At 37.3% G+C, this 25230-nt stretch overlaps 1 long non-coding RNA gene and 1 pseudogene across 1 annotated transcript; both read left to right on the top strand.

The window, feature by feature from the left end:
* Window positions 306-1956, top strand: AIDAP3 (AIDA pseudogene 3; annotated as a pseudogene).
* On the top strand, window positions 6482-23887 carry LOC105371958 (uncharacterized). Its single transcript, XR_001753320.2, has 3 exons — window positions 6482-6563; window positions 7243-7392; window positions 22909-23887. It is a non-coding gene; the product is annotated as an uncharacterized LOC105371958 (long non-coding RNA).
* Window positions 23888-25230: the final 1343 nt, after the last annotated feature.

Below are 25230 nucleotides of genomic sequence, written 5' to 3'. Positions count from 1 at the left end.
GAATTCCAGTGTTCTCTCAGATGATCTATTCAAAGTGGATAACTACTCACTATGTTGGTTCTTCTGTGTGGAGGTGGCAGTACCAGATGCCTCTAGTCAGCCATCTTGAAGCCCTTCCTCCTTTTGTACAGTTTTGGCTTTTAAAGTATTTGTCCTACATATTAGAAATGTAAGATTAATCAGTAAGCATGGGAAGGAGGAACAATCAAAAACTGAAAGCAATGTGAAACAAATGAACCTACTATACCGCAAATAAATACCACAATCACACTAAAAAGAAATAAAGAGAGGAAAAAAAGAGAAGAGTGGTTGCAAATAAGCTTGCGTGGCTCCTTGGAAGGTGGCAGAGTTTGCTATAGTGGTTCCTCCTGGCCCTGTCAATACTGGTGTCAGGCCCAGCCAGGATGGTGCCTGAAAGCCCGCTGGAGTAGGAACAGAAGGGGACAGGGTAAAGAGTGGTCACCTTCGTGACCCAGAGTCTACTACAGCACTGGGGAGCCAGTTTTAGGAGAGGCACCAGCTTTGACTCTTGGAGCTAGCTGGTGGAAGTGATAGATGAGTATCTGATATTAGCAAGACTTCTACAAAAAGAGGCCCAAGCTCAACGCGAGAATTCACAGAATAACAAAAGAAACCCACAGGCAATGTTGCAACACGCTTGGAATTGTGAAGTGCAGCTTTACATTCCACACAGTTTCAAGAAGAACTGAAATCGGAGGACCTGAAGAAACTGTAACTAATCCTAAAGAATATTTTTACATATAATAAAGAATTTCCATTTGACGTTCAGCCTGTCCCCTTAAAAAGAACTTTAGTACCTGATGAAAAACAGTATTTGGAATTTGAAGAAGATGAAGAACAGGGTGGTGCTGGAGCAGGGTCTCCCGATTCTTTTCCCGCTAGAGTTCCTGGTACGCTACTACTTGTATTAGTCTGTTTTCACACTGCTGATAAAGACATACCTGAGACTGGGCAATTTACAAAAGAAAGAGGCTTAATTGGACTTACAGTTCCACGTGGCTGAGGAAGCCTCACAATCATGGCGGAAGGCAAGAAGGAGTAAGTCCCATCTTACAAAGATGGCAGCAGCCGAAGAGAAAATGAGGAAGATGCAAAAGCAGAAACCCCTGATAAAATCATCAAATCTCGTGAGAGTTATACACTATCACGAGAACAGTATGGGGGAAACCACCTCCATGATTCAATTATCTCCCACCGGGTCCCTCCCACAACATGTGGGAATTATGGGAGTACAATTCAAGATGAGATTTGAGTGGGGACACAGAGCCAAACCATATCATGACTTTATTACCAAAGTTGCTATCAGAACCAAGAGCGGTGTTACTCACTACTAGAACTGAGAACATTGGTCTGAAATATGCTAAGCAGCACATATCACTACTTTATTACCAAAGTTGTTGTCAGAATCAGGAGTGGTGTTACTCACTACTAGAATTGAGAAAATTCGCCTGAAATATGCTATATTACAGTTAGTATCAAGGAGCTGAATGACATAGATTTAAGTACTGTGCAAGATACTCCTGTGGCTTTAAGAAAAGAAGATACATATGTTCATTTTAATGTGAACATTGAGCTACAGAAGTATATTAAAAAATTAACCAAAGGTGAGGCTCTCTTCCTTAAATTCAAAGACTACAAGCCTACAAAAATGTTTATCAGCACTTCATGGAGATGGATGAAATTAAACCTTGGCCGCTTGTAATAGAACTGTACAAAAAACCTACTGACTTTAAAAAATGAAATTGCAATTACAGACCAAGAAACCATTTGATCTTCATTTATTAATACATCAAACTTTGCACAAGGAATGATCCTGACATGAATAACTTGAAACTTTTGTGAATTTTACTACTCATTAGAAACCATCATAGCTCTGTGTATCACATTCATCCTCAGCAGGTAGGAAGCATGCTGTACCCATGCCAGTAGGCCAGAGTTTCCATAAATCTTCTGAAATCTAGGTGAAGGTCCCCAAACCTCAATTCTTGACTTCTGTGCACCCTCAAGTTCAACACCACGTGGAAGCTGTCAAGGGTTGGGGCGTGAACCCTTTGAAACCATGGGCCGAGCTGTACCTTGGCCCCTTTTAACAATGGCTAGAGCAGCTGGGATGCAGGGCACCAGGTCCCTAGGCTGCACACAGCATGGGGACCCTGGACCCAGACCATGAAACCATTTTTTCTTCCTAGGCTTCTGGGTCTGTGATGGGAGGGGTGGCTGTGAAGACCTATGACACGCCCTGGAGACATTTTCCCCATTGTCTTTGGCATTAACATTCGGCTCTTTGTTACTTATGTGAATTTCTGCAGCCAGCTAGAATTTCTTCTTAAAAAATGGGTTTTTCTTTTCTACTGCATTGTTCAGGCTGCGAATTTTCTGAACTTTTAAGCTCTGTTTCTCTTTTAAAATGGAATGCTTTTAATGGCACCCAAGTCACCTTTTGAATGGTTTGTTGCTTAGAAATTTCTTCCACCAGATACCCTACATTATCTCTCTCAAGTTCAAAGTTCCACAAATCTCTAGGGCAGGGCAAAATGCCACCAGTCTCTTCGCTAAAACGTAACAAGAGTCACCTTTTCTCCAGTTCCCAACAAGTTCCTCATCTCCATCTGAGACCACCTCAGCCTGGACCTTATTGTTTATATCACTATCAGCATTTTTATCAAAGTCATTCAACAAGTCTCTAGGAGGTTCCAAACTTTTCTACATTTTCCTGTCTTCTTCTGAGCCCTCTGAACTCTTCCAACCTCTGCCTGATACCCAGTTCCAAAGTCGCTTCCACATTTTCAGGTATCTTTTCAGCAATGCCCCACTCTACGGGTACCAATTTACTGTATTAGTCCGTTTTCATGCTGCTGATAAAGACATAGACAAGACTGGGAAGAAAAAGAGGTTTAATTGGACTTACCAGTTTCACATGGCTGGGGAGGCCTCAGGATCATGGCGCTACTTACATGGCAGTAGCAAGATAAGATGAGAAAGACGCAAAAGTGGAAACCCCGATAAAGCCATCAGATCTTGTGAGACTTATTCCCTACCATAACAATGATATGGGGGAAGCAGCCATCATGATTCAAATTATCTCCCACCAGGCCCCTCCCACAACATGTGGGAATTATGGGAGTACAATTCAAGATGAGATTTGGGTGGGGAGACAGCCAAACAATAACACCTGTGAACCGCATAAAGCTGCATCTGTTGCCCAGAGTGCCTTTTAATGGGAGAGTCCATTTACACGTTTACAATTGATTACAAATTTACAAATTTAGATTGTGATCTATTCGCTTTCAATTCTGCCCTATATTTTTAACTTTATTTTTTGGTCTGGATTTATAGTTTTGTCTTTCCTCCTTTTCCTTTTTTCTTTCCTTTTACTTGAAATCCATTTCCATCCACATTCCATTCTGTTTTATTCTTTAAGTTGTTACTCTACAAGTTTTAGTTTGAATATTTAGCTTAGATTCTAGCCTTAGTAACTAGGTTTGTTCACTTCTCAAATAGTACAAAGGACCCAGTACAAAGACATGCTTTGCCAGTTGGCGTCCAAGGACATCTGTGGTTTATTTACTGAGAAAACCAGAATTGCCAAACTGTTTTGAGGAATCCCCAGTTCAGATCAACTGCCGCATTATGATATCAGGGGATTCAGGAGACACCAATCAAACTGATGTCTGAAGTCATTAATAAAGAGTTGTTTCATTATTTCCAACTAAATATGAAAGAAGACTGCAATCAAAGATTTTGAAAACGTTGTGAGGCCCAGTCAGAATGTGAGAACAGAAGGAGTTTGGGGGTGATGAGCAGGAGAGGCCAGGAGGCACAACTAGGTGAGAGAAACAGAATCAGAAAGAGGGGACCGACACAACAAAAGCAGACTTTACTGATAGCACACTTTGCCTAAGCAGTTTTCACAGAGATTTTGGAATCAAAAGCTTGAGGAAAAATGGGCTGGGCATGGTAGCTCATGCCTGTAATCCCAGCACTTTGGGAGGCCGAGGTGGGCAGATCACATGAGGTCAGGAGTTTGAGACCAGCCTGGCCAACATGGTGAAACCCCATCTCTACTAAAAATACAAAATTAGCCGGACGTGATAGTGGGCTCCTATAATCGCAGCTACTCAGAGCAAGAATTGAGTCTTAAAAAGAAAAAAGCTTGAGGAAAAATGAAATTGTAAGAAGTGGTTAATGTTTTCATAAATTAACCCTAACCCAGAAATGTTAACAAATTACTTTTTGTTGCTTTTGTAAAATCCAAGTGACCTGTAACTGTCACTGGTGACAGGCAGATTTGGTCAGCAATCTCCTTGGGGTCAGCTCATAGATTTCTTTTTTTGTTTAGAAGTTCTCGAAATGGGTGCAGAGGAAATGTCAGACCACAGGTACAATTAGAAAATAAAAGCAACTTCTGTTAATAACAAAAGATAAGTTTTAAAATGTTACCACCACACTTGCTAGACCTTTTAAAGTAAACTATTTGAACCTATGTTAGTTTTCAAGGTAGAAGCTACTTAGGGATGATTTTTTATAGCAATGAGTGGGAGATTTTTTTTAATGAATGTCGCTGTGACTTACAGTTGTATTCATTTTTACCTTAGAAAAATATTGAAAGAACGAAATTATGTATGACTAGGGACATTTACATTTCCGGTAGAGGTTTCTATAAAGCAGATTCCATAATGTGTAAAGGAACAGGATTTGTTATAATATATTTAAGCAAAGATCAATTTTCGCTGCTTCCATCTTGACTAAATAAAGACAGTTGGATTTTCTACCTCAGAGAGGCATTAGAAAGTCTAATTTGCAGATTTGTGATAATGACCTGGGAAATGAAATGATAACTATCGGGCCACTGGCAGTTTTTTTAGATCTACCATTTTACTTCTGACATCCTACTTACTAGAAATGAAGAGATTTTCTTTTAAAAGTTCCTATGCAAGGGCCGGGCATGGTGGCTTACACCTGTAACCCCAGCATTTTGAGAGGCCGAGGTGGGTGAAGCACCTGAGGTCAGGAGTTCGAGACCAGCCTGACCAATATGTTGAAATCCCGCCTCTACTAAAAATAAAAAAATTAGCCAGCCATGGTGGCATGTACCTGTAATCTCAGCTACTCGCAAGGCTGAGACAAGAGAATTGCTTGAACCCGGGAGGCAGAGGTTGCGGTGAGCCAAGATTGCGCCATTGTACTCCAGCTTGGGCAACAAGAGTAAAACTCTGTCTCAAAAAAAAAAAAAAAAAGTTCCTATGCAAGAACTTCGCTATTTCATTAAATTAATCAGGTAAATGTAATGGAATAAATGCTTGCAAACAAACTTGACATAATTTAGGATCTAAGGTTATTAATTGATCTTAAGTATCTGGGCAATTTCCAATTTAAGAATTATAAAAAACATTTTAAAAAAAGTTCTTATTAAAGGTAAAGTATCTTTGTCTAATTCAAAGCTTATTTAAGGGTTATATGTGAAATAAGGTAAAGAAATCAGGAAATAAGAGATGTAAAGAAAGTTAAAGATGTAAAGTAGTATTTCTGGTAAAAAAGAAAAATAATTTTATATACGAAAGAATCTTGTGTGGTAAATTTTTGTCCTAAGATAGAAATAATGAGGTTGTTCAAGAAAGAGGGATATTTAAGACAAAACAGTCTAAACGTGCTGTGAATGAACTATGTCAGCTGTAATAAGGTTAGTAAGAAGGACTTCTTAAAGGATGTAATGTAAAGGAATTGTTCCATTTTGTAGATTGGTATCATTCGGCTTCTTTAAAATAACCACTTTAAGGACAAAATTCTTAACCTTAAATGCTACAGAATGTAAGAGCTTGTTTGAATTAATGCAGGATGCACAGCTCATTACTGAACAATCTCTGAGTATATGCTATCCAAATGCACAGGGGGTTATTCCTGAGAAAGCAATTGGCCTAGTGAGGCAGGTAATGCCATTATAAGATCTGTTTTCCCTGAGAAGGGGACTGCCCAACTCTCCCTATAAAATACCAAGTGAAGTATCCAAGATGAAGCAGCTAATATGTTTCATACGTAAGCCATGTTGGACTAGCCTTATGATAACCGGGATATCCTCCCACCAAATAATGTCTATTACCTGGGTCATGGTAAATTTGGGGGTTAAGGGAGCCCCTTTTACATGGCTGCCCCTCCCACAGAATCATAGGTCTGTTTAAGAAGCCTTATCAAATCTGTTGTCCCTCATAGGTCTTACAGATGCAATTCCCTGCTGGGGACCCAAACCCTTTTCACCAGAAATGGTAAAATGGCCTGGGGGTTAAAAAAAATGCTTCCTGGGACCAGAATATAAAAACACACAGGTTAATAGAATTGTAAAATGTAAGATGTTTAAACAAGCTTTATGTAAGGTAGTTGTAACCCCTTTTACCTAAATGTCTTTTGAAAATGGGCACTATATCTAACTGTGGGATGTTTTCCCCTTTCTAGTACTATAAAACTGAAGACATGTCAATCTGCTCATGTAAATCTTCCACTCAGTAACCTTTTGTGTGCAGCATTTATTGAGGCTGATGGCAAAAATTGTGAGTACTTTTCAGTAACAACGACTGAGCTAGAGAAGTTCTACTTGATGGGGCATCTACTGCCTTGCTTTAACTGACGCTACTCCTATACTAATAGAATTAATGTTTTCCAAAAAGTTCCGTGCCAAAATAAAAATGGTTTACATAGAATCTTGCTACCTAATAAGCAGAGAGCCTTTCTCCTAGGACTAATTGTAAGAAGCTGCTAAATTCTATAGTGCCTAATAGCTCTCAATGAGCTGCTTGTTTGTAAATAAAATTTCCAAGATAAACAAACATCTGGTCTTAAAAGCTGCTGCTCTGTTTAAAGGAGGGTCAGGAAAATCTTTTTCTTTGAAGTTATTTGGGTAAAGTATGTTTTTGTAAGCAAATGTACCTTTCTGCGTTCTCCAAAATTCAGATTGTAATTTTAGAACAGTATAGTTGTCTGCACAAGTTCAATGATAGTTAAAAACGTGACACCTAATACTAGATTTCGGCCGTAACCTTTTAAGTACAGATTAAATCATTATTTCTTGGCTACAATAATCCTCTAGAAGGTACCAGATTATAATTTTTTCTTCATGTTTTTAGTTAGTGCCCTAATGGAATAGGTTCCTTTTTCTGTTCTAACACATGAATTACTCTTATAACTGTCAAACTATAAATGTTATTTATCTCTCCTTGTTTTGCTTCCAAGGAAACCAACATCATGGTATTCTGAAGACCAGAGATATGAATCTCCCTCATTTGACATCCTACTGGGCCTGAATCTGTTTCACTGCTAAAGCTCTGCTGCCAAACCTATACAAGCTGCCTCCCTCTAGGCCCAGGGGCTATCATGGAAGAGGTGGGCACAAAAGATTTTAAGGGCTGGTTTCAAGGGATAAAATCAGGTCAACATTAAACCCTCTGAATCAAGAAAGGGATACAATAAATGCTCAAACAGCTGGCAAAACAAGATTAGTTGCCTTCTAAACTATTATGTGTCACTTTTGCATCCACCCCAACCATAAAAATTTTCTGCTTGGTATAGAATTAAAGGAAAATATTTACTAACAGGATAAAATACCTTGTAACAAAGCCTCCTGGGTATAATACTCCCAATTTTAAGTTGTGAAGATAAATCTATCTATCTACCTATCTTTCTATCTATCTATCTATCTATCTATCTATCTATCTATCTATCTATCATCTATCTCTATCATGTATGTATTTTAAATTACTTTTTAGAACAATGCTTATGTTTTAATTGCTAATTAACAGCTAATTGCTGTAAGCCTGTAACAGAAACCAAGCTTACAGTAGCTCAACACATAAGTTAAAAATGAGTCAGTCTTGTAACTTTTGTCTTTTGGTTTTGTTGTCTTCTTTTACTTAAAATAATAATTTTAAGAAGTTATGAATGCCTGTCTATATCCATTCCTATATGACCTAGACCAATTAATGGGCTATAAGTCTTTGACTCTAAAGGCCCTCAGCCATAGGGAGTCCTGCCAAGGAAAAATAACACTGCAGAATTATATAACTTCTCCTGTGACAAAACCTTTTCTCTCCCAAATACCAATATATGGTGCAATACAAAAGTGGTGGGAAGAATAGATTTGTCTACTGTTAACACATCTATAACAATTTAGACACTGACGACCAGGCGTTTCTTGCGTTTAAATTTTACCCTCCTCAGGATGCTATACCTATGGAGAGAAATTGGCCAGAAGAGAAATTAAGTTTAATAAATTCTAATTTAATGTTGGCCCTACAATTTTTAAGTAAGATTTATCATGAGATTCAAATAACCCTTAATAAGGAGGATAAACACATGGTGAGTCGGATCAAAGAATATGATGATGCATGCAGGGTTTCTCCTGGCTGATAGGGCTGTTTAACTGCCCTCTGACTCTACCTATAACCTTCTTGGACACCTAATCTTTGCTATCTCTTTGGTAGTTGTCACTGTATTAGCATTATATATCTCTTGTAAATGTTATGCCAGATACAGCAAAGGGAAGAAGGCACAATTAAAGACCCAGATTATGATAGCTTGCAAAACAGATATGATCTAAGATTCTTTTTAGACTAAACTCTAGGCCTGACTCTATCTCACCCCTTAAACAATTGGCTATTACATCAGGTCAAACTATGTCCTCCCCCATTATCCAAATCGCTAATATTTAAAACTATATTACCATGAAATCAGAGGACTCTAGGAACAAACCTTCCTAGCACCGTGGGCCCCTGCCAGATGGCCAAATCAGACAACGCTAGGAATGAGCCTTCCTAGCGCCATGGGACATGCTGCTGTTTGTTGGCCTGAACATGCATTCTATGGAATGCTTTTTGGCCAAGAGCGGGGACTGAGGACTAAGCTCTGATTTTTTTATCTTGCCAAATTTCCTACCTAGGGGGTTTAGGGAGTCATGCCCTACAAGCCATAAATTCTCATCAGATGGGTTTTATTTAACCCTGTATACCATGACTACTTTCCAATCTGACTCTGGCATAACAAGGAAGAAAATCAAAATATTTTACCCCAAAAGATGTTTCCTTGCCATACCTTGAAATTGCCCTGCGAAGTCTCTTGTGGAAAAATCCACATCCTATAGAGAATCCCATTTCCCCTTTATTTTCCTTCATTTTTTTCCAGATTCAGGGGATAATCAACTAAGAGCCAGATACCCTTTTAGGTCTAATAAAACCCATTTTACAACCTGATCTCTCTCTGAAGTCTGCTATCTGAGAGCTTCCTCTGCACAATAAAACTTGATCTCCATAATTCTTTATCTTGACCTGAACATTCCTTTCTATTGATCCCAGGTCTTGAGATAAACTCAACCAACTGTCAACTGGAAAATGTTCAAATTTACCTATAGCCTGGAAGCCCCCACTTTTTGTCCTGCCTTTCTGAACCAAATCAATGTATTTCTTAAATGTATTTGATTGATGTCTCGTGCCTCCCTAAAATATATAAAAACAAGCTGTAGCCCGACCACCTTGGGCACATGTTCTTAGGACCTCCTGAGGGCTGTGTCAGGCCATTGTCACTCATATTTGGCTCAGAATAAATCTCTAAAAATATTTTACAGAGTTTGACTCTTTTCATCAACAGACATAACGTATAGTATGAAGACCACAGTTAATAACAATACTGTGTTGTATATGAAACATTTGCTAAGAGAATAAAGTTTAAGTGCTTTTACCAAATACACAAAAATGTTAACTATGTGAGGTGATGCAAATGTTAATTTATTTGACTATAATAATCCTTTCACTGCGTGGGAGAAATATAGATAGTGGTTACTGTATACTCACAAATACATTTTGAATTCTCTTCTTTAGATTGGAGTTGAGGAGTGTATGGATACTCCTACTCCTAGATTCTCCCGCATATGTCTTTTTTTTTTTTGAGATGGAATCTCACTCTGTTGCCCAGTCTGGAGAGCTGTGGCATGAACTTGGCTTACTGCAACCTCTGCCTCCTGGGGTCAAGCAATCCTCCCACCTCAACTTCCCGAGTAGCTGGGATTACAGGCATATGCCACCATGCCTTGTTAATTTTTATTTTTAGTAAAGATGGGGTTTCACCATGTTGGCCAGGCTGGTCTGGAACTTCTGATCTCAAGTTGTCCACCCGCCTCAGCCTCCCAGATTGCTGAGATTACAGTTGTGAGCCACCACACCCAGCTGATGCTCTCATATATATCTTACTATGAGTTTAAAAGAGGCAATACCCATGAAAGGAGGAACTCTCCAAGAAGCAGAGTCTGATTGGGTCTTGAAACGTGAACAGAATTCAGAAAGGTAGTGTTAATGTAAAAAACAAATTATGTAAAACAATTTGAAGCGGTTTATTCTGAGCCAAGACGAGTGACTGTGGCCCAGAGAAAAACACAAACCCAAGAAGCTTGGAGTAAGTGGTCCTGAAGCAGTCAGTTTTCAGTTTAGTTGTAAACATTTTAGGAAGACAGGAGTTACAGGCAAATATATAAATCAATACATAGCAGGTATACATTGGTTCAGCCTGAAAAAGTGGGAAATCTCAAAGCAGTGCCTTGCAAATCATAGGTGGATTTTAGGGATTATTGAACTGACAATTGGTTGAGAGAATTAAGGTATTGTCTAAAGACTTGAAGTCAAGAGAAGGTAATGCTTAAGTTGAGAAAAAGGGGTTGTGGGGGCCAAGTCCCTTGTTATGTAGATGAAACCTCATAGGTAGTAGGCTTAAGAGAGACTAGATGGTAAATGTCTCTTTACAGAATTTTGAAGGTGTCAGACTCTCAGTTAACCTCTGTTAGACTGAGAAAGGCCTAGAACGAGAAGGTCTGACTGCATTAATGGAGATTCTCAGAGACAGATGTGAATTTTCCCCTCAAGAGATGGCTTTGCAGGGCCATTTCAGTCTGCTGGTCCTGTGGCAACCATTTCAAAATATGACAAAGAAATATATTTTGGGGTAAAATATCTTGATTTATCTTAAGGTCTGCTATCTATCATATGATGCTATACCAGAATCAGGTTGGAAAGTAAGTCACATCGTACTGGTTTAATAAAAAAAAAAAAAAATGTTTAATGAGACTTCATGGTTTGTATGGTGTGACCTAACCCTTGCCTTACATAGCCCTAGCTCTTTTTTATAATTTGGTATCTTATCACCACAGTCTGTTTTGTCAGTCTTATGATCTCTAGTTTAACCTTAATACTGGTGGGTTGTGCCTAAATTCCAAAAGAAAGGTGATATAACAAGGTGCATCTGACCTCCTTTCTCATGATCTCCAGGAATTCAATTATTCAGGTTTCTCTAGGGTCCCCTTGGCCAAAAGTGGGTCTGTTCAGCCATTTGGGGGGCTTAAGATTTTATTTTTGATTTACAGTAGAACACAGGGAGTAGAGGCCTGCAGTACAGTGCAAAGTGTAATAAATGAATGAAGACATTGAATTCACCACTCTCTTATGACCAGAGAATGCCCATTATTTTCTCAGAATAAGGTTTTGTTTATTAACAATGGTCTCTTTAATTGAATATTTTAAGAACCTGTACAGACCTTCAGATAAGAGCTCCTGTAACATATACCTTATTTTAATTAAAATAGCTATCATTTTAGTTCAGCCCTATTAGTGCCAAGTACTAAGTGCATTTAATGCTTGTTATTGACTTTAAACCCAGGCCCTAGCGGCTATTGCTATTTCCTTTTTTATTAAAAAGGCCACTCAATTTCAGCTCAGTTTCATAACAGTGACTCTACTGATAAGCAGTACTGCCCTCAGGCAAGTGGAACCTCTACCTGGGGCCGGTGACGGTGCTGCCCCTCAGAAACCCAGTGATTTAGAGTGCCTTCCTGGAAACTCTCTTGAATTCCTACCTGGTGCCTGAGACTTGCTGAGGCAGCAATGCCGTTTAGGAGGGGTTACCTGTGCCTGGCCCAGGACTGGGGCAGGTGGTGGGTGCAGAGGCTAGTACTAGTCTCACCCCTTGTTGAGTCTCTTAGGTTCTATCTCAGGCATAAGATTGACCTGTTATCCTGAGGAGCTCTAAGCTTTCCTGCTATGGAGTAATTGGCCACCCTAAATTCTAGGAGGGCTTCCAGGCAAATACATCTCTCCCACTGGTCTGGGCAGTATTTATTTCCTGGAATTGCGTGATTGAATTGAATTGGGCTACCGGCATGATCTTGGCTTGTTTTGGACAACTCAAATTAGTCATATAGATACAGATCCCAAAACAGATATTTTGCTGAGGGCCTTACACACCCTAGGGGCAACTCAGTCCATAAGCCCCTTGATAAACTGCTTCCTTTAGGTCAATTGTATTGTCTTGAACATGAGGTGCATGAGAAATAGAAAAAGAAGGAAAGAGTGCATGGCAAATAAAAAAAGAAGAAAAAAGTCCTTGTAACTAAAATGTGCAATAGAAAATTCCTTTTGTTCTTAACAATTTAGCAATAACTTAATTTCTTGTTTTGGTTTTTTGAAGTAGCACAATGATGACTCACATGCATGGTGTCATCAGTCAAAAACTTGTCCTCTTAAATAAATATAAATGTTAATAACAAAGTCATTTCAATTTATCCAGAAAGATCCTCTTAGAAAGTATCAATCACACTCATTCTTTATGAAAAATATATTCTTTGAGTTTATATATTCTTTACATATAACTTTGCTCATACAATTCTCTCTCATAGAGGCTCCCAAATGGATGAATGTAAAGGAGGGAGGAGATTATTAGAATGCACTGTGCATTTTTCCTGTGATAAATACATATGTGTATATAAATATATATATATTTATATATATATATATATATATATATATATATATATATATATATATATATATATATACTGTTTCCTCATTCATGCCTTTATCATCCCTCATGGAGACATTCAGATGTCAAGGTCTCCATTTTTCCTGTGTTTTCATCCCTTATTATCTAATTCTACCTAAGGCAGTCATCGTCTCACACATAAACATAGTCGTTGCCTCACCTCTTCAATTCCATTCCCCTAAACTTCACTCAAGAGAATAAGCACAGAGTTTCTTACTGACTTCTTCTTTCCAGAATCTGCAGGGCCTGCTATGGGATGTCCCCAGGAGATGATCCCCACGAGGCCAGTATTGTCCAATAGAATGCTGCATAGATGCTCCCGGCTTCAAGCAATTCTCTTGCTTCAACCTCCCAAGTAGCTGGGACTACAGGCACCCGCCACCATGCCCAGCTAATTTTTGTATTTTTAGTAGAGATGAGGTTTTACCATGTTGGCCAGGCTGGTCTCGAACTCCTCACCTCAGGTGATCTGCCCTCCTTGGCCTCCCAAAGTGCTGAGATTACAGGCATGAACCACTGCACCTGGCCTATAAGTTTAAATTAAATTTAAATAGCCATATGAGGCCCAATGGTTACCTTATTGGACAGTGCAGCTTAGGCCAAGGTCTAGAGTCCTTGGGGTAGATGGAGCTTGTCATCAGGGCTCTGTACTTTGGTCCTCCATCTTCTAAGTCTTCTAATTCTCTCTTATAATTTACTGTAGCCCAGTATAGTCTCATTCTTCACATTGATGATTCCAGGGAAGTGATAGTTAGGGTATCTTCCAGGTCACTGGCTTTCCTTTTGTTCTCTGAATCTCATTCTCCATCCACGCAATTGCAAAACTGATTCTGGAAACTTATATTTGTTTATGTACATCTATATCTTTTCTAAACCACTTTAATGAGGTTAGCATTAAGAAAAACTTTCAGACACTCTGATCTTTAGTCTTAAAATTTTGCCTTTTTTTTTTCTGTTGTGAAATGTTTAGTTGTCCCCTCTGTTGGAATTCTCATGACTTTCTTTTGTGCTTTCTGAGGCAGTAGCCGGGATATAACTGTGAATAGTATCAGCAGTGTATAGGTGACAAGGCAGTCACAGATGTGGATGTGTGGTCTTATTACAGTGTATGACCCTTCTCTCCTGTTCCCAATTTATAACCTATCCACAGCTCAAAGTGAGACCATTCCTAAAGGGTAAAACTACTATGGGACACTAATAAGTCCAAATATGTGTCTTTTAATTGCTAGGGGAACCAGTCAGATCAGGTAAAAGGATACATATAATTAATATGCAAATAGAGGGGAGAATGAAATAATATAAAATACACAATTAATATAACAGAAAATATTTTCTGGTAAGAAAATAGACAAAATAGAACAGGCAGCACAAATACAAAACAAATAATAAGATGCTAAATTTAAAACCAAATATATGAAAAATAATATTAAATATAAAGTAGGCTATCTCATTTTTTTACAAACAGCCTATTCATATTCTTAAAACAGTCCAGAAGAATCTAAATTATTTTTAAAAAGTGAATTTAGTAAGGTCAATATAAAAAGTCAATTTTATCTTTATATATTAGCCAAAAACAATAGCCGAATTAAAAAAATACCATTTACCGTAACCACAAAGTACAACAAATACTTAGAAATAATGTGTGTAAGATTTTGCACTCTGAAATTCTACTGAAGTTGTTCATCAGCTCTAGGAACATTTTGGTAGAGTCTTTAGTATTTCCTAGGTATAGAATCATGTCGTCAGCAAAGAGATAATTTGACTTCTTTTCCTCTTTAAGTGCCTTGTATTTCTTTTTCTTGGCTAATTGCTCTGGCTAGAACTTCCACTACTGTTTTGAATAGGAGTTGTGAGAATGAGCATCCTGGTCTTGTTCCAGTACTTATGTAGAATGCTTCCAGCTTTTGCCCATTCAGTATGATGTTGCATGTGGGTTTGTCAACACAAAGCACCTTACAGTAAACAGAGATCATATCCATACCCACCTCCTTGTGCAGCTGCTGACTCTTACCTGCAAATGCCATCTACTGGCCTGTAGGTTGAAATGCACAGCCTAATACAAAGCCTGCCAACAGAAGTGCATAGGACTACAGAAGAAAACCCAAAAGACTCTACCCAACACAATCCTCCCTAGATGAGAAGAAACCAGTGTAAGGATTCTTCCATCATAAAGAATCTGAATGTTGTGACACCACCAAAATATCACTCTAGATCTCCAGTAGTGATCCCTAACCAATATGGAAACATGGAAATGACAGATAAAGAATTCAAAGCATGGATTGCCAGGGAGCGCAACAAGATTCAAGATAAGGTTGAAAATCAGCACAAATAAACTTCTAAAGCAATCCAGGAAGTGAGGAGATATAAATCTCTTAAAAAATCAATCAGAGCTACTGAAGCTGAAAAGCTCACTTAAGGAATTTTGAAATGCAATTGAAAACTTTATCAATAGAACAGACCAAGCAGAAGAATTTCAGAGTTTTAAGAATGATATTTTGAACTAACCCAGTCAGACAAAAATAAACTGAATTTTTAAAATGAACAAAGTCTTTGATAAATATTGGATTATGTAGGGTGACCAACCTATGAATTATTGGCATTCCCGAGAGAGAAGAAGAAAAAGTAAATGGCCTGGAAAACATATTTGAGGGAATAATTCAAGAAAATTGTTCTTACCTTGCTAGATAAGTAGATATCCAGATACAAGAAATCCAGATAAGACATGCTGGATACTATACAAAACAAATATCACCAAGGATACATACAGTTATCAGATTGTCTAAACTCAACACTAAAGAAAAAATCATAAAGGCAGCTAGAGAAAAAGGGCAGATCACATACAAAGGAAACACCATCAGACTAACAGTGGATTTCTCTGCAGCAATCCTACAAGCCAGAAGAGACTGGGGGCCTATTTTTAGCATTTTGAAAGAAAAGAAACTCCAACCATGAATTTTACATCCTGTCACAGTACACTGCATAAGTGAAGGAGAAATAAAATCTTTTCAGACAAGCAATTGCTAAGGGAACTCATCACCACTAGACCAACCTTACAAGATATCCTTAAGGCGGGGGGTACGTTTCAGGAGTGGCCTCACCCAGTGCAACGAAAGCAGATATTTAGATATACCTGTGACAATTTCTAGAACTATTAATATTTCCCCGGCAGTTGCCTCAACTCTGGTACGTTTTCACGTAAACCCAGCTGCTTCAGCCACCCCAAAGAGAAGCTGACCTTTCTCTCCTCAGTTCAAGGGGTGGCAGCTCACTCTGCTTGGGCTCCCTGTCCCTGCGTTCCTGCTGGAAAATATCTCAAGGCAGGAAGCTGGGCTATCATTGGCTCAACTAGTTTCTTTTTCTTTCCTTAGAGAACACAATATTGCATTGCCTGTGGTACATTGTCAAAAAATAGTTGCTCCAAATATTTATACTTATTATGTTTGTATTATCTATTCTTTTTTTTAAGGTTTTCTTATTTTTTAATCTAAAACTGCATATTCTACTTAATGTAGAATTTAGATCTCTAAAATAAAACAAAATATGGCAGACATGTACATCATGCATTTTAAGTGGAAGCTAAACTCCATTTCTTTATTTTTATTTATTTTTTTATTATACTTTAAGTTCTAGGGTACATGTGCACAACGTGCAGGTTTGTTACATATGTATACATGTTCCATGTTGGTGTGCTGCACCCATTAACTTGCCATTTACATTAGGTATATCTCCTAACACTATCCCTCCCCCCTACCCCCACCCCACAGGCCCCGGTGTGTGATGTTCCCCTTCCTGTGTCCAAGTGTTCTCATTGTTCAATTCCCACCTATGAGTGAGAACATGTGGTGTTTGGTTTTTTGTCCTTGAGATAGTCTGCTGAGAATGATGGTTTCCAGCTTCATCCATGTCCCTACAAAGGACATGAACTCATCCTTTTTTATGGCTGCATAGTATTCCATGGTGTATATGTACCACATTTTCTTAATCCAGGGTATCACTGATGGACATTTGGGTTGGTTCCAAGTCTTTGCTATTGTGAATAGTGCTGCAATAAACATATGTGTGCATGTGTCTTTATAGCAGCATGATTTATAATCCTTTGGGTATATACCCAGTAATGGGATGGCTGGGTCAAATGGTATTTCTAGTTCTAGATCCCTGAGGAATCACCACACTGTCTTCCACAATGGTTGAACTAGTTTACAGTCCCACCAACAGTGTAAAAGTTTTCCTATTTCTCCACATCCTCTCCAGCACCTGTTGTTTCCTGACTTTTTAATGATCACCATTCTAACTGGTGTGAGATGGTATCTCATTGTGGATTTGATTTGCATTTCTCTGATGGCCAGTGATGATGAGCATTTTTTCATGTGTCTTTTGGCTGCATAAATGTCTTCTTTTTGAGAAGTGTCTGTTCATATCCTTTGCCCACTTTTTAATGGGGTTGTTTTTTTTTTTCTTGTAAATTTGTTTGAGTTCATTGTAGATTCTGGATATTAGCCCTTTGTCAGATGAGTAGGTTGCAAAAATTTTCTCCCATTCTGTAGGTTGTCTGTTCACTCTGATGGTAGTTTCTTTTGCTGTGCAGAAGCTCTTTAGTTTAATTAAATCCAATTTGTCAATTTTGTCTTTTGTTGCCATTGCTTTTGGTGTTTTAGACATGAAGTCCTTGCCCATGCCTATGTCCTAGGTTTTCTTCTAGGGTTTTTATGATTTTAGGTCTAGCATTTATGTCTTTAATCCATCTTGAATTAATTTTTGTATAAAATGTAAGGAAGGGATCCAGTTTCAGCTTTCTCCATATGGCTAGCCAGTTTTCCCAGTACCATTTGTTAAATAGGGAATCCTTTCCCCATTTCTTGTTTTTGTCAGGTTTGTCAAAGATCAGATGGTTGTAGATGTGTGGTATTATTTCTGAGGGCTCTGTTCTGTTCCATTGGTCTATATCTCTGTTTTGGTACCAGTACCATGCTGTTTTGGTTACTGTAGCCTTGTAGTATAGTTTGAAGTCAGGTAGCATGATGCCTCCAGCTTTGTTCTTTTGGCTTAGGATTGACTTGGCAATGCGGGCTCTTTTTTGGTTCCATATGAACTTTAAAGTAGTTTTTTCCAATTCTGTGAAAACCCACTTGAGGAGGCAGCCTGTCCATTTTCAGATCTCAAACTCTGTGCTAGGAGAACCACTACTCTCTTCAAAGCTGTCAGACAGGGACGTTTAAGTCTGCAGAGGTTTCTGCTGCCTTTTGTTTGGCTATACCCTGCCCCCAGAGGTGGAGTCTACAGAGGCAGGCAGGCCTCCTTGACCTGCGGTAGGCTCCACCCAGTTTGAGCTTCCTGGCCACTTTGTTTACCTACTCAAGACTCAGCAATGGTAAGCGCCCCTCCCGCAGCCTCGCTGTCATCTTGCAGTTCAATCTCAGACTGCTGTGCTACCAATGAGCGAGGCTCTGTGGGCATGGGACCCTCTGAGCCAGACACGGGATATAATCTCCTGGTGTGCCGTTTGCTAAGACCACCAGAAAAGCGGAGTATTAGGGTGGGAGTGACCCGATTTCCCAGGTGCCATGTGTCACAGCTTTGCTTGGCTAGGAAAGGGAATTCCCTGACCGTTTGCACTTCCTGGTTGAGGCGATGCCTCACCCTGCTTCGGCTCATGCTCTGTGCGCTGCACCCACTCTCCTGCATCCACTGTCTGACAAACCCCAGTGAGATGAACCCAGTTCCTCAGTTGGAAATGCAGAAATCCCCCGTCTTCTGTGTCACTCATGCTGGGAGCTGTAGACTGGAGCTGTTCCTATTCGGCCATCTTGGAACCACCCCCTGTATTATCTATTCTTATGCATAATATTATATATTCTGTCTTGTTTTCTAGTAGTTTGTGGCGACGATGCTAGTACATACCCAGCCACATTTCTGCTTAAGACTTTTCGCTCTTCCTTGGTGCTGCTTCCAATCTAGGGGAATCTTTCCTCTTGCTCTGTTCTTGCCCTCGTATGTCTTCTCCCTCTTTCTTTCCATCATGGGCTAGTTAACATAATGTCTCCAATGTGCCTAGGCTTTTACAGGAGAGAGAAGGTGCTGAATATGATTTCAAACTGTTCCTAATATGTCAAAATTGCTGAGGGAAGATCTCTCCAATGGCTTTGTGCATGTGTTGTGTGTATGTGTGTTGCAGAGGGCCATACATAGGGGTTTTAAAGGCCATATAAAGAGCCATATAGAAATTTTAATAAAATATTCTAACTAGTCTCTCTTTAATTGCTGCACTGGTAATTTGATGTAACCCTTTATTTAATCATTGTTGGCACAGAATATTGTTGAATGTGAGCTTCCTGTAATAGCCAATTTTATGGCTCAACTTGACTGGACCAAGGCACAGGATGCCCAGGTATTTGGTTGAACATTATTCTGGATGTGTCATCTGTGACAGTGTTCATGGATGAGATTAACTTTTGAATCTCCTGCTCTCTCTATGTCACTCTCTCTCTCTCTCTCTGTGTATGTGTGTGTGTGTGTGTGTGTGTGTGTGTATATATACATATATATATATGTGCATATATATGCGCATATATATGTATATATATGTATATATATATGTGCACATATATATATACACACACACACATATATATATATCCTATTGGTTGGGAGAGTTCAGATTAATACAGTGCTTTATTAAGCAATTTCAACTCCGTAGAGTCTTTTTGGCCAACTTACTTTAATCTACTTTCGTGTATCTTAATAATTTGCACAATATTTTTGGGACTGTTCTGATTCACTCACTTCAAGTGAAGGTAGTGTTGTGAATTTGGGGGAAAATAGAAGAGGATTATAAAAGAACAGCCAGGCTTACAGACTGTCATATAGATGGGACCAAGAGCTTTCAAAAGTAGGAGTAAGAGCACATATTACATTTCTCACCAGTATATCTAACACCTGAGTGGAAAATACAATTCACCAATATGCAAAGTCATAGACAACAGAGAAAAAAGGCATGTGATTGGAATACATACTTTACTGTGAATATTCAGTTTAAAGAACTATTTCCCAAACCATAGTTTTAAGAATTTTTGATGGACCACATTTTCCTTACACATGAAGTTTTAAGATATGTTATGTAAATGCATGAGATAACATTTTGTGATCTTCATTTTAAAGTATGTTAGCTTCCTGAGATCTCTTTAATTTCCTAAAATGATACCCCAGTTTCCCTCTATTGAAATCATCTGAGGCCAGTCTCAACTTAGATGTCCTCCTTGTAGCCAGCTTGACTTTGGACTTATATTTTTTAATATAATAATCGCTTTCCTGAGGAATCGGTTTTCCCCATATGCATTTTATATGTATTATTCTGTGTACGTAGGGATAATGTGAGAGTGGAGGGCAGTACGGACAAAAGGAAGGAAACATGAAAGACAATACTTTTTGATATATAAGGACTGAAGGAAAAACACACTGGATTGCTATTATAGGTTGAATTGCATCCCTCCAAATTCACATGTTGAAGTCCTAATCCCCAGCACTCAGAATGTGACTGTATTTGAAAATAGCGTCATGCAGATGTAATTAAGATGAAGTCATACTGGAGTAGGGTGGATCCCTAATCTGGTAAGACTGGTGTCCTTATAAATGTGGGAAATTTGGACACAGACATGCACACAGGGAGAAGGTCACGTGAACACAAAAGCAGAAATGTGGGTGATCTATCTACTAGCCAAGCGACACCAAAAGTTGCCACAAAACCATTAGAATGGAGAAGAGAGGCATAAACCAACCCTGTTGACACCTCAATCTTGAACTTCCAGTCTCCAGAATTGTGAGACAATAGATTTCTGTTATTTAAGTCACCCGGTGTGTGGTACTTTGTTGTGGGAGCCTTAGAAGATGAATACAACTAGAAGTCAGGAAACCCTGAGTTTTGACCTGGCATTTATTTCAACTCTGTGATTTGGAAAATCTTCATCAACATCACTGTCTTTTAGTTTCTTCAGTCAAAAAAATAAATAAATAAAAATAAAGGAATGTGCTAAATTAGCATTTCTCATAATCTTAAAATATATTGAAACCCCCCAAACACTTATTTATGTGGCTTATAGACATCTGTATTTGCTGTAATAAAAATTGAAGTGAGAATTAAAAATATATTTATTTATGTTATTTAAAATAAGAATATTAAAATACATGTTAAAATGAACAAAATATTTATAATGTAGGTATATCTATGAAGACGATATTTTACTACAGAAGCAAATTACAACAAAACTTAGATGAGGGTAACTGTTTTACATTTTTACAAATCTCTTCAGTTTCTGGTTTATTGTGATGTAGCTGGGTCTTATATATGTTTCTGCATTCAATTATTAGCAATATGTTGTTTTTATTTAAGTATATAAAGAAAATTCAGGCTCCCAGAGATTTATAGTTGGAGGAATATTTTGATTGCTTTTCTGAAAAGATATGAATATTCTTTGATTTTTTACACAAAAACTAAGTTTTTTTTTTTTTTTTCTAATAAGTAAGGTGAACTAGGGGATCTGCAACCTTATCAACGAACATTTTAATCTTTGTTATGGTAAAGTCTCCTGACCTTCTTGTGTGTTGAATGGCTTTTTACCCATGCTCGATGCTGTGTCATAACATACTGGTCATTTGGAAAATATTGGATCACTGAGTTATGCAGATGTTCCCAATGTTAACACATTTCACTATTTAATATGGAAAAATTATACTTGCAAATAAAATTGTAAGTTCACAGTTGCAGCTATGTTTTCCTACATTCTAATTTTTGTTTGAAAGCTCAAAACAAACAGTACATTTCTTTAGGAGGAAACTCCTGCTGAATGTTACAAACCTTTTTAAAATTTTTTATATACTTTTCTTATCTGAATGATCAGTTTCATTCACAATTTTTCAGCATTAACATTTAACTCAAAGGAGAAAGTTACAGTTATACTGTGAAAACATTTAATGAATATTTTAATAAAAACATTCACATTCCAAAGTGGAAGAAAATGATTTTCAGTCTGACTCATACATTGAGATTTACTAGGCCTGTGCCCTAAAGGACGTAATTGTGAAATTCAATTACCTTGTATCTATCTACATCCATTGCAACTAGAATCAAAAGACATTTATTGTTGGTAATAAAATAATTTAGTGATGTATATAGAGATTTTTAATGGATCTTTGCTTGAATAAATAAATTACTATCAAATTCAATAAAATTCCATTTGATTTTTGTAGGTAGTATGAATGCTAAGTAGCTTTTGTTCTAAAGTCAAAACTCAAATAATAAAGGAGAAAAACAGAATTGATCCTAAAGAAAACTTGTTTCATATTATTTTGCTTTAATTTTATTGGCCATTCAGTCATAAGCGTTTTTAAGGAGCACTGTACATTATTGATGAAACTATTTCTAATTAATGTTTTAAAGAATTGGCAAATAAATGCATGTAGAGAAGAATTTACTGAAGGAGGCACTGTCAAGGAAAAACCTGTTTATCTCCCTCAATAGATTCTCTTCAACATGAAGGTGCTTAATGATAAGAAACAGAGGTTTCAATTACTAGAAGTATACTATTTTAGAAAGGAGTAAAGGAAGAAAAGAGAAAAAGAAGAAAGGGAAAGAAGAAGGATTTTAAGAGTAATTGTTTCATATTTCTTCATATCTTTCACAATGTCTAGCATAATACTTCAGGCATGGTGGATGTTGGATGTTTCTGCATCTCTCAGTGATTTGAAGAAAGTGACATCACATTATGATCTAGCCCCATTGGATATATTTGTAGTTTAATTTTTAAATGTTATTATTATTCATAATTGTAATAAAACTGCACCACTGACATAAAGATTAGAATCAGAGAACTGATTTAGTTATTATTATTAGAGATAAAAGGTGACTTTCAGAAAGAAAAATAGGCAACAGTGCAAAGGTAGTGAGGGCCAAAGAAACATCAGGGTTCCTCATGCTTTGGGAAAATACAATGTTCTGCAGGGATCCTGACATTTAAATCAACAATTTCAAGCAACTTTAATGTGCTTGGCTTGCAGATTGCCGGAGGCCAGAAAGTAAGACAAATAACAGCTCACCTGCCTGGCTTGTTGGAGCAACAAGAAACTTTAAGAGCAATCCTCCATTTGCCAGGTGAGGAAATGACATTAACAGCTGGAAAGATTAATATGTTGGTGAAGGACCAGGGAAAAGAAAACTGCCAGCTTCCTATACCAACCATAGAGTTAAAGTTTTTGCTTTTTTTTTTTTTTCAGGTTCCTTGGTAATTAGACTTGTCAATAGAACAGATTTCTGTGTCCATAATGCATAAGGTTAAGTAAGGTATGTCGGTATGTTGAGTAAGATCACCACTCAAATGAGGAGAATGATTGTTACAAGGTACAACATATAATGAACAAAGTGGGAAATTAAGAAATTCTTAATTTGTACATTCTGGCCCAGGAAAAAGAAATGCTGAGATTATCTTGGATTGTGTTTAGATAACTGTTTTGTATTTCAAAGTACTTTCAGAATCATCTCATTTTAGCTTTACAATCTAGAAATTTTTATACATATTATTTTCTATTTGAGAATACTGACAAATTTCGCTTAAACAAACTTTAGCCTGACTCCTGAAGCTCCTCCTGTATCTATGTGTGCACTTCCTTGTAAAATCCAGTTTCAGCAAGAACTCTGCTAAATCATTTTAACCAGAACCTCCCACTCTTGATACCGGATCACCTTGATATTTTATCAGGTTCCTCATCTTCCACCTCCAGGGGATGTCTGGTCACCCTGGCCTGTCTTCAGCAAGAACCCTATTAAGTCAGTTTAGCCAGAATCCTCCTTATCCCTGATGTTTCCTCTGAGCAATTTTCCACCCACTGACCCCACCCTATTCCTTGCCTATAAGCTCCCACTTGCCATGCTGTATTAGGATTTGAGCCCAATCTCTCTCCCTCACTGCAAAATCCCATTGCAGTGGCCCCTGTACCAAACATGATGGTCCTGAATAAAGTCTTTCTTGCTCTGTTGTAACAAGTATTATTGAGTCATTTTTCCTTTAATAATACCAGTGGTTTCTAAATAATTCTGGACAAGTAGGCTCTGTTAAGTGCTGATTTTCAAGGATGGGGGAAGGATAATATGCTCCTTTTGGGGGAAGATTTAGCTTGGACATCCCTATCACTTTTGAATCTGTCAGGCAATAATACAAATAGAGACCCCTACTTTCTATGGTTAAAATTTAAAAAGTTATCAAACATGTTATTTGTTAAATACAACATGCTTTGTTCTCATATGTTCACAAATATACCTTCATAATATATTAATAAAATATTTGTGAAAATCCATGGTCTTACTTAATATTATCAAGTCAGGAAACTATAAAAAAACCACTGAATGTATTTATTATCTTTCTACAGAATGGTGATTGAGGAAGAAGACACACATAATTCATAAATTGTTATAAATGTATTTCTTGAAGTGTTTTTCCTTGAGTAAATATCAGCAAAATTTTGTCTTCTAGAGTTATGATAAAAATTTTCACATAACTTGTGGATTATCAGTGGAAATGGCATGTTATGCGAAATTTCCTAAGTTATTGTGGTTCTTAGGTAATTTTCATTAATTTCAATTTGGAGATATTTTGATCTGCTAAGCAGTAGCAACTGGAGTTGTCAATAAGACATCTAATGCAATACTTTGGAAATAAATTAAAATGATTTATTTATTCAAAATGATTTTACAATGCAGGTTCAAAAAAGTGATGAGGTCAAATATGACATATCACCATAACCAAATAAACTATAAACAAATAAAATACAAATTATTTTAATTTATTATATATATTTTTATTACTTATATTGTGATTTTTAATACTTCCTAAATTAATAGATAAATCAGTATAATATTCCTTATGTTCTCATTCTTTAAAATACTTCAATGCTGTAAAATTAAACAAAAATACCACTTTTTAGCTACATTTAATTTTTTTTGAAATTAAGACTATGTATTTGTCTTTAATGACCAGAAACTAATCTTTATAGTCAAGATTATTTGCACATGAATCTTCCACTTTATACTTATACAAATTATTTTGTTTCATATTTTTAATTCATTTAAATTTGGTTGGAATGTCACTTTTGTTTCATTGATGTGGAGCTTCTTTCAAATTAGAAAAATTTTGTGTCTAAAACTCTTATGTGGTAGTTAAGTCATTCTGAAAATTAGAGTAAAATTTGAATTTGTTTTTTGGTATGCTTTGCAAATATTAATAGCAAGGAATATTTTATAAAAATAACTGGATAGCATAAATTCAAATAATTTCATTTTTCCTCAAAGATCACATTTAAAAAAAATTGAGAATCTTCTGTTATTTT

Source organism: Homo sapiens, chromosome 18, assembly GCF_000001405.40.
Source record: "Homo sapiens chromosome 18, GRCh38.p14 Primary Assembly".
Lineage (NCBI taxonomy): Eukaryota > Metazoa > Chordata > Mammalia > Primates > Hominidae > Homo > Homo sapiens.
The sequence above is the reverse complement of the archived record's forward strand: the minus strand, read 5'-3'. Positions and strand labels throughout refer to the sequence as shown.